Below are 10,540 nucleotides of genomic sequence, written 5' to 3' on the forward strand. Positions count from 1 at the left end.
AAGATGGAGTCAGTTAGGTCACATCTCTTTCACTGTCATAATTTTCTGAGTTAGGATTTTGCAACAGCGATTTCGCTAGTATCCAGTTAGACATAAATACACTCATACACACTGTGGGGGCCATCGGCTCTTGGTCTCCTAAAGGTTCACTGAAAAATTACTGATGAGGCAGATTGATTAGAAGGAGAAAAGGCATGCAAATTTACTTAACATGTATACATGGGAACTTTCAGAATGAAGATCCAACCTTTTAATAAACCACAGAAGCTTATATACCATCTTGAGGTTACAGAAGGAATGGGGGCTTGAATCCTGGTAAAAAAGATTATGGGATGGGGAGAAAAGGAATTCTAGGGAGGGTCAACAAATGGTTCTTAGGAAGCATGAATGGATCTGGAACAGAGATTAACTTGTAAATAGTTTTCCTTGGAGGCCATGCGGTGGCTCACGCCTGTAATCCCAGCACTTTGGGAGGCTGAGGCAGGTGGGTCACCTGCGGTCAGAAGTTCGAGACCAGCCTGGCCAATATGGTGAAAGCCTGTCTGTACTAAAAATACAAAAAATTAGCTAGGCGTGGTAACAGGGACCTGTAATCCCAGCTACTTGGGAGGCTGAGGCAGGAAAATTGCCTCAACCCAGATGGCGATTGCAGTGAGCCAAGATCACACCATTGCACTCCAGCCTGGGTAACAAGAGCAAAACTCTGTCTGAAAAAAAAACAAAAAACAACAAAAAAGTTTTTCTTGGAATTTAAATGATCCTTGGATACAGTCTTTATACTTTTTATATTTTATTTTATTTTATTTTATTTTATTTTATTTTATTTTATTTATTTTATTATTTTATTATTTTATTTATTTATTTTATTTTATTTAATTTTATTTATTTTATTATTTTATTTATTTTATTTTATTTTATTTATTTTATTTTATTTTATTTATTTTTATTTTATTTTATTTTTATTTTATTTTAATTTTTCTGAGATGGAGTCTCACTCTGTTGCCCAGGCTGGAGTGCAGTGGTGCGATCTTGGCTCACTGCAAGCTCCACCTACCGGGTTCATGCCGTTCTCCTGGCTCAGCCTCCCGAGTAGCTGGGACTACAGGCACCTGCCACCAGGCCCGGCTAATTTTTTTGTATTTTTTAGTGGAGATGGGTTTCACCATGTTAGCCAGGATGGTCTCAATCTCCTGACCTCTTGATCTGCCCACCTCAGCCTCCCAAAGTGCTAGGTTACAGGCGTGAGGCACCATGCCTGGTCTCATCATACTTTTTAAAGGGTATGCTCATTTTTGGTCACATTTAGAGAAAAAAAAAAAGTATGTACATTCTAGATAAGTTGTCGAATGGATTTATTTTTACCTGCTGCCCAGATACAGCAAATTTATCAAGACAGGGGAATTGCAATAGAGAAAAAGTAAACAGTGTGAGGCACATAGAGCCAGCTAAAAAGGAGACTGGTGTTTTATTACTCAAATTAGCCTCTCTGAAAATTCAGAGGGTGGGGTTTTTCAAGGATGGTTTGCAGGGCAGGGAGGTTAGGGGAATGGGTGCTGCTGATTGATTGAGGATGCAGTCATAGGGGTGTGGAGAATGGTACTTGTGGCTGAGTCTACTGCTGGGTATGGGCCAGAGGAGCAGTTAAATCAAAATTCTTGGGTCTTGGGTCATCAGAAATGCAAAAGCCTCAAAGGACATTATCTTACAAAAGCCATCTCATTGGGTTTTGTAAAACCAAAAGCCAGTCTTTGATTTTATAATAGTGATGTTATCTGCAGGAGTAACTGGGGCAGTTGCAAATCTTGTGACCTCTTGAATAATGGCTGGCAATCATTTACGCCTACATCTTAGCAGAATTCAGGCTCCTCTCATCCTGCTAATGTGGTGTCTTTCATTAGTTTTACAAAGCTGGTTTAGTTTTGGGGAAGGGCTGTTATAACTTAAACTATAATCCAAATTTCTTTGAAAGTTAGCTTGGTCCAAGCCCAGGAATGACCAAGGGCAGTTTGCAGAGTAAAGGAAAGATGGGGGTTGGTTAGATCAGAGCTTTTTCACTGTCGTCATTTTCTCATTGTTACAATTTTTGCAAAGGCAGTTTCAAAAATATTTTGGGGGTATTGGTTTCTGAGGTCCAACACACACACACATCTACTCACACACAATTCTTTCCTTAATAAAGACTAGATGTGTTTGCATAGGCCTGTGAAGAGGTTTAAGAAAAAAACATTGACTCCTGTAATCAAAGAGAGTACTATTTTGTATTTTCTAAAATGATTTTAAAATAATTTAAACATAATGCTAAATTATGATGTAGAGCTAGAGAACAAAAAGCATGTGTATTCTAGATAAGTTACAAAACTGATGAAACAAACCGGCAGTAATCACAGAATCCAGTGATTAATGTTTTGACGCATTACTTCCTGGACATTTTCCTGAAACGTGCTCTTAAGAAACAGAAGATGGTTGTAGTGAAACTGCCTTTGCAAAAATTATAAATAGTAAGGGAAATCAAACATAATTGACTCCATCTTGCTTCTACCAGGCTAAATTGCTTTTGCTCATTTTTTGTGGAGGCCATAATAGTCCTTTTCTTAAACTTATCCCCTCCTGGTTTAAAGATTGAAACCATGTTAGTAAAGACTAATAAAAGGCCACAAGATGAGAATTACGGTGTTACAGGAAAGAGGTCCCAATCCAGACCCCAAGAGAGGGTTCTTGGATCTCATGGAAGAAAGAATTCAGGCTGAGTCCACAGTGCAGAGCAAAAGCAAATTTATTAAGAAAGTAAAGAAATGAAAGCATGGCTACTCCATAGACAGAGCAGCCCTGAGGGCTTCTAGTTCCCCATTTTGATGGTCATTTTGTGATGATATGCTAAACAAGGGGTGGATTATTGATGCCTCCCCCTTTTAGACCATATAGAGTAACTTCCTGATGTAGCCATGGCATTTGTAAACTGTCAGCACTGGTGGGATTGTAGCAGTGAGGATGACCAGAGATCACTGTCATTGCCATCTTGGTTTTGGTGGGTTTTGGCTGGCTTCTTAACTGCAAACTATTTTATCAGCTAGGTCTTGTTGACCTGTATCTTGTGCTGACCTCCTGTCTCATCTGGTGACTTAGAATGCCTTAACCATCTGGGAATGCAGCCCAGTAGGTTTCAGACTCATTTTACTGTGCTCCTATTCAAGATGGAGTTGCTCTGGTTCACATGCCTCTGACAATGGGAGGGCTTGAACTTTGCTAAAAAATAGGCATGGTTAAACAATAGCCATTAATTGCTTGCTTAGCTTGCTTTTCTATAGCTGCCTGCTGTCCCAGAGTCATAAACCAGAGATCAAAAGATTGTGACTTCCCAAACTGCTCCTATAGATAACATTACTATTTTGAGACCTTAAAGGGCTGGTCTTTGAGATATTTTTCAGATTTAGTATTTTGGCAGACCAAGAGATACCACCTGGACCTGTGACCAAGAAACTAACTCAGCTGGTTCTGTTACCTACAGCTGGGAATTGACTCAGCTGTAGCTTTGATACCCCTATAATTTCATCCTTAGCCAATCAATTGTTTCAGTTCCCTATCCCCCTACCCACCAAAATACCTTTAAAAATGCTATGATATGGTTTGGCTGTGTCCCCACCCAAATCTCATCTTGAATACTCACGTGCTTTGGAGGGACCCAGTGGGAGGTGATTGAATTATGTGGATGGGTTTTTCCTGCACTGTTCTCATGATATTGAATGAGTCTCTCAAGATCTGATGGGTTAAAAAGGGGAGTTTCCCTGCACAAGCTCTCTTCTTTTATCTGCCACCATGTGAGACATGCCCTTCATCTTCTGCCATGATTTTGAGGCCTCCCCAGCCACGTGGAACTGTAAGTCCAGTAAACCTCTTTGTTTCATAAATTGCCTGGTCTTGGGTATGTCTTTATCAGCAGCATGAAAACAGACTAATACATCCTACCTCTGAATTCTTGGGGAGATGGGCTTGAGAAACATCTCCTGTCCCTCTTGTGTGGCTGCCCTGCAATTATTAAACTCTTTCTCTTTCTCAATACTTGCTGTTTTTGGTGTGTTGGCTTTTTCAGAGTAGTAGGCAAAAGTAACCCTTTGGGCTGTAATGGTGGGGTAGAGTACAGGAAGTAGTAGTAGAGAGAATGAGAACTAGAGTCCATATTCTACACCTCATAGGCCTCAGTCAAGCTACTCTTTACTCCTCTGCAATGGAATCACCCAGTGGCTTCTTCCTGCCTACTGTACAGACAAAACCAATTCACTGTGAGACCATGGCATTGCAGTAAGGGAAGCATTTAATTGACACAAGGCTGGCCATACCATGCAGGAGACACAGTTATTACTCAAATCAACCTCCCTGAAGGCTTGGAGGTTGGGGTTTTTCAAGGATAGTTTGGTAGGCAGGGGGCTAGGGAGTGGGGAATGTTGATAGGTTGAGGATACCATTATAGGGGTGTGGAAAGTGGTCCTCATGCGCTGAGTCATGAGTTGTGGGTCAAGGTGGAGTCAGCCAGTCATCAGAAATGCAAAAGTCTAAAAAGACATTTCAAAAGGCCAATCTTGGGTTCTGTGATAGTCAAGTTATCTATAGGCATAATTGGAGAATTCACAGATCTTGTGACCTTCAAACATTGGCTTGCTAAGTATACCTACTTTTTAGCAGAATTCAGGCCCCTTTCATAATCCTAACCTTGTGGCCTTTCATTAGTTTTACAAACGCGGTTTAGTTTTTGTAAGGGCTATTATCCTTACTTTAAGGTTAAACTATAAACCAAATTACTCCCATGATTAGCTTGGGCGACACCCAGGAATGAGTGAAGACAGCTTGTGAGGCTAGGTGCAAGATGGAGTCAGCCATATTTGATTTTTCTGCAAAAGTAGTTTCAGAAACAAGTGCTTTTTTTTTTTCCTTTTTAATGTGATTCTAAATGTCCCTGCATTAGGACATGGCATCTCTATGATTTAGGCACTTATGAATGAGTGCTCATGTCAGAGACCTGAAGATGTAATGGTTCCATCAGTTAGTGTTAAGTTTAGCCTAAAACTGCCTTCTTACATGGTTAAGTTTACCCTAAAGTTTCTTGGTACATAGTGAACTGTAACCTAACTGAATGTGTAAACAGACTGTAACGACTACAACCTACTGTTGTAGCAATCACTGAGTTTTTACCAATCAAAGGAGGACAACTGTTTAAACCGTATTCCAATAAAACAAATGCCAAGCTGTAACCAATCTGACTATTTCTGTAGCTCACTTCCATTTTCTGTAAGTCACTTTTTTTTCACTGTCCATAAGTTATCTTCAATGATAGAACAGGGCTGGAGTCTCTTGGAGCCTGCTCTGGTTCAGGAAGCTGCCTGATTCATGAATTGTTCTTTGCTTGGTTAAACTGTTAAATTTGTCTAAGGTTTTTATTTTAACAATAAGAATTATTTCTCTCTTACCCAAATACAGCCCAGGAGGAGGCAGTTCAGAACTGGTGAAGTGGCTTCATGGTATTACTATCTTTTAGCTCATGGCTTCTATTCTTTATTTTTTTGAGATGGAGTCTTACTCTGTTGCCCAGGCTGGAGTGCAGTGGCATGATCTCAGCTCACTGCAACCTCTACCTTCCAGGTTCAAGCAATTCTCCCTTTCTCAGCCTCCTGAGTAGGTGGGATTACAGGCACCCGCCACCATGCCTGGCTTTTTTTTTTTTTTTTTTGTATTTCTAGTAGACATAGGGTTTCACCATATTGGCCAGCCTGGTCTCGAACTCTTGACCTCAGGTGATCCACCCACCCAGCTCGGCCTCCCAAAGTGCTGGGATTACAGGTGGGAGCGACCATGCCCGGCCTATTCTATACATTTTCTAGAAATTTTAGAACTGTCTTTTTAGATTTAAATCTGAAACTTACTTATGTTTATAGTGTGGGGTAAGGATACAACCTTCTTTTTCCTGATGATTGCCCCAAGCGGGTATTTTCTTTAACCTCTTCTAGCTACTAGCCAGAACTTTCCCTAGAAAATGCAGGAGGCGCCAAGACACATTCTTATTCTTTCTAGACTTCACAAAGACCTACACTCATTTGTTTGCACTATTTTTTAATGATTCTCTCTGGGCTTCCAGTATATTCAATGCATCTCTCTTTGCACTTTTAAGTGGCATCATAAATATGGGTGGCAGCTGGGCGTGGTAGCTCACACTTGTAATCCCAGAACTTTGGGAGGCTGAGGTGGGTGGATCACTTGAGGTCAGGAGTCCTAGACCAGCCTGGGCAATATGGCAAAACCCCGTCTCCACTAAAAATTCAAAAACTAGCTGGGCGTGGTCGTGCTTACCTGTAATCCCAGCTACTGGGGAGGCTGAGGCAGGAGAATTGCTTGAACCTGGGAGGCAGAGGTTGCAGTGAGCTGAGATCTTGCCATTGCACTCCAGCCTGGGCAACAGAGCGCGAGACTCTGTCTCAAAAAATAAAAATAAATAAATAAATAAATAAATAAATATAGGTGGCATCATAATGATCTTTTCGCAAATATTTTTCCCACACAGTGCTGTGAACTGCTTGAGAGTAGGAACTGCCTTTATTAACTTTGTATCTCTGGTACTTACTATTTATAGTTTCCTCAGTAAACAATTGTGTGTTTTGTTTGTTTTTGAGATGGAGTGTTACTCTGTTGCCCAGGCTGGAGTGCAGTGGTGTAATTTCAGCTCACTGCAACCTCTGCCTCCCAGGTTCAAGTAGCTGGGACTACAGAATCCCGTCACCATGCCCAGCTAATTTTTGTATTTTTAGTAGAGATGGGGTTTCACCACGTTGGCCGGACTGGTCTCAAATTCCTGACCTCAGGTGATCCACCAGCCTTGGCCTCCCAAAGTGCTGGGATTACAGGCATGAGCCTACGCACCTGGCTAATAAACAATGGTTAAATGGAATTTATAAATTAATAAAACATGGCCATATCTTACATACCCTTCGTTACTGGTTCCATTTAGAAGTTGATTCCTAATGACACAATAGGAGGCATCTTTTTTTAAAAAAAGTTGTTTTATTTTAAAAGATAGGGGTCTTGCTATGTTGCCCTGGCTGGTGTGAAACTCCTGGCCTCAAGTAATCCTCCCAACTCAGCCTCCCAAAGTGCTGGGATTACAGGGGTGGGCCTCCACACCCAGTCATTATGAGGCATCTTAATCTCATTAGCCTGTCTCCAAATCCCATCTCAAACTGAGAATGTTTCCTAAACAAAGTTAATCCCTTTAAAAATGTTGTCTGGGGGCTGGGCGCCGTAGCTCACGCCTGTAATCCCAGCACTTAGGGAGTCCGAGGCGGGCAGATCACCTGAAGTCGGGAGTTTGAAAGCAGCCTGACCAGCATGGAGAAACCCCGTCTCTACTAAAAATACAAAATTAGCTGGGCATGGTGGTGCATGCCTGTAATCCCAGCTACTAGGCAGGCTGAGGCAGGACAGTCACTTGAACCCGGGAGGCTGAGGTTGCCGTGAGCCGAGATCGTGCCATTGCACTCCAGCCTGGGCGACAAGAGTGAAAGTCCATCTCAAAAAAAAAAAAAAATGTTGTTTGGGTTTCTATTAGCTTCAGCCCTGTAGCATCACATTTTTGCATATAGTTTACTTTAGGGAGCTTCTATCCATTAATTCTAGTAGCTACTATGAAGGCCAAGGGAAAGTTCCCTATCCTTTGAAGGTTCACTGAAAAGTCAACTCACAACTCACAAAAGGCAGGTTAATTGGGGCATGCAAGTTGTATTAATTCACACCTGGGGAGAATCACAGATGGGGTTAGCCGCCCTGCAAGGAGGTTCTGAAGATTATATGCCACCCTGGCAACATAGGTTATGGGAGGAGAGAGGAGAAGAGGAATTCTGTTGAGGGGTTTACTAGGGGGAATGAATGGATCAGGGAACAGAGATTAATTTGAGCATTATCTTGTGAACATGTCTGTCCAGGTGTGGTTACACTCTTGGTCTTCAGGGAGGGGAAGAAAAAACAATTGTTCTTGGTGGGTCTGGATTTTTGGCAGATAATAGAAATTAAGCTTCAGAGACAGTGGGTGGGAGGGTTAGAACTTGAGGCTTCTTCAGTAGGTCAAGGTGTCATTTTTGGAACATCAGCTACTGACCCCCAACACCACCAACAAGCTGTATTTCCACGATTCCAGCACAGTAGTCCCCCCTTATTCTATTTCACTTACCATGGTTTCAGTTATCTGCAGTCAACAATGGTCCAACAATATTTGCGTTTTGAGAGAAGAGAGAGAGAGACCACATACACACAACTTTAACTACAATATACTGTTACAATGGTTTTATTAGTTGTTGTTAATCTCTTGCTGTGCATAATTTGCAAAACTTTATGACAAGTATGTGTGTGTGTCAGGCTGTTCTTGCATTGCTATAAAGAAATACCAGAGACTGGGTCATTTGTAAAGAAAAGAGGTTTAATTGGCTCGTGGTTCTGCAGGTTGTACAAGGATGGAGCCCGCATCTGCTCAGCTTCTGAGGAGGTCTTAGGGAGCTTTTACTTATGGCATTCTAACATGGCGAGAACAGGAGCTTGCACATCACTTGGCAAAAGCAGGAGTGAGTGAGACAGAGAGGTAGAGAGGTGGGGTAGGTGCCCTGCACTTTTTAACAACCAGATCCAATGAGAACTCACTCTTTATTGAGAGGACAGCGCCAAGCCATCAAGGATTCACCCCCCTGACCCAAACATCTCCCATCAGGCCCCAACTTCAATGCTGGGGATTGCAATTCAACAAGAATTTGGCAGAAACATGTGTTCAAACTATATCAGTATGTGTAGGAAAAAATCAGTATACGTAGGGTTTGGTACTACCTGCTGTTCCAGGTATCCAACTGGGCATCTTGCAATGTACCCCCATGGATAAGGGGGACTTCTGACTTAGACGACCTTCCCAGGGACAGTGAGGTAGCTGTTCATTCGGGAAATATTCACAGCAAGTCTACTGAGGACTAAACTCTGATTTTTTATCTTGCCCAAATTCCTATCTAAGGGGACTGGGGAGTCATGCCCTACAAATCCAGTTCTCATCAGATGGGCTTTATTTAACTGTATATATCATGATTTACTTTCCAACCTGACTCTGGCATCACATTATGAGACAAGGAAGAAAAACAAAGTATTTTACCCCAAAAACATGTTTCTTTGCCATTATTTTGAAATGGCCCTGCAAAGCTGTCCTTCATGGGGGAAAATTTACATCTGTAAAGACTCTCTGTTAACATAGCTGGATCTTTTTCTTCCAGACCCTCCCAATCTTAAAGTGATTAAGAGTCTAGAACCTTTTAAAGATACGAATAGGAAATATTTTTCTATTGTCTCTAATGGCAGCCACTATAAGATTTCAAAAGAACCTTGGTCTTCACAATCTTTTATCTTAACCTGAACATTCCCTTTCTGTGGATCCCAGGTCTTTAGACAAACTCAACCAATTGTCAACCAGAAAATATTTTAATTCACCTATAGCCTGGAAATACCCCCCTACCATCCCCCACCCCCTTTGAGTTGTCCCGTCTTTCTGGACCAAACCAATTATTTCTTAAATGTATTTGATTGATGTCTCATGCCTCTCTAAAATGTATAAAATCAAGCTGTGCCCCAACCACCTTGGGTACATGTTCTCTGGACCTCCTGAGGGCTGTGTCACGGGCCATGGTTGCTCATATTTGGCTCAGAATAAATCTCTTCAAATATTTTACAGAGTTTGACTCTTTGCTTCGACACTACCGTCTGCAAGTTCTTGTGCTAGCCGCTGTGGGAAAGACACAGCTGAGTCAGACATGATCCCTGCCCTCAAGGAGCTTGTGACACCACAGTGAAGACAAGTCTATTTTGGTGAGTTTGTGGAGACAGGAGATAGAACAAGCATGGCCGTGGCTGCCCTTTGCTTCCGTGGTGCTGAGCAGCAGCAGGGGCAGCTGTGAGCAGGCAGCTGGTCTTGGCAGGAAGCAGAGCACCACCCAAAGACTGGAGTGAGGAAATAAGGCCGCCTTTACAATTTGGCAAATGACTGGCCTTGGGAATGTGAGTAGAGAGAGAGTAGCAAATTAAGATTATCTCACCTGAGAAGATTCAGAAGTTTCCTCTGCATTTTGTGAATAAGCAGTGTGGGCCTGCCTGCCTGCCTGCCTGCCTGCCTGCCTGCCTGCCTGCCTGCCTGCCTGCCTTCCTTCCTTCCTTCCTTCCTTCCTTCCTTCCTTCCTTCCTTCCTTCCTTCCTTCCTTCCCTCCCTCCCTCCCTCCTTCCTTCACTCCTTCCTTCCTTCCTGTGAATAAGCAGTGTGGGGCTTGCTTGCTTGCTTTGAGTAAGTAGTGTGGGCTTTCTTTCTTTCCTTCTTTCTCTTTCTTTTTCTCTTTCTCTCTCCCTCCTCCCTCCCTCCTCCCTCCCTCCTCCCTCCCTCCTTCATTCCCTCCATCCATCCCTCCCTCCTTCCTTCCCTCCCTCCTTCCTTCCCTCCCTCCTTCCTTCTCTCCCTCCCTCCTTCCGTCCCTCCTTCCTTCCCTCC

The sequence above is a fragment of the Homo sapiens genome, chromosome 15, assembly GCF_000001405.40.
Source record: "Homo sapiens chromosome 15, GRCh38.p14 Primary Assembly".
NCBI classification, from domain to species: Eukaryota; Metazoa; Chordata; class Mammalia; order Primates; family Hominidae; genus Homo; species Homo sapiens.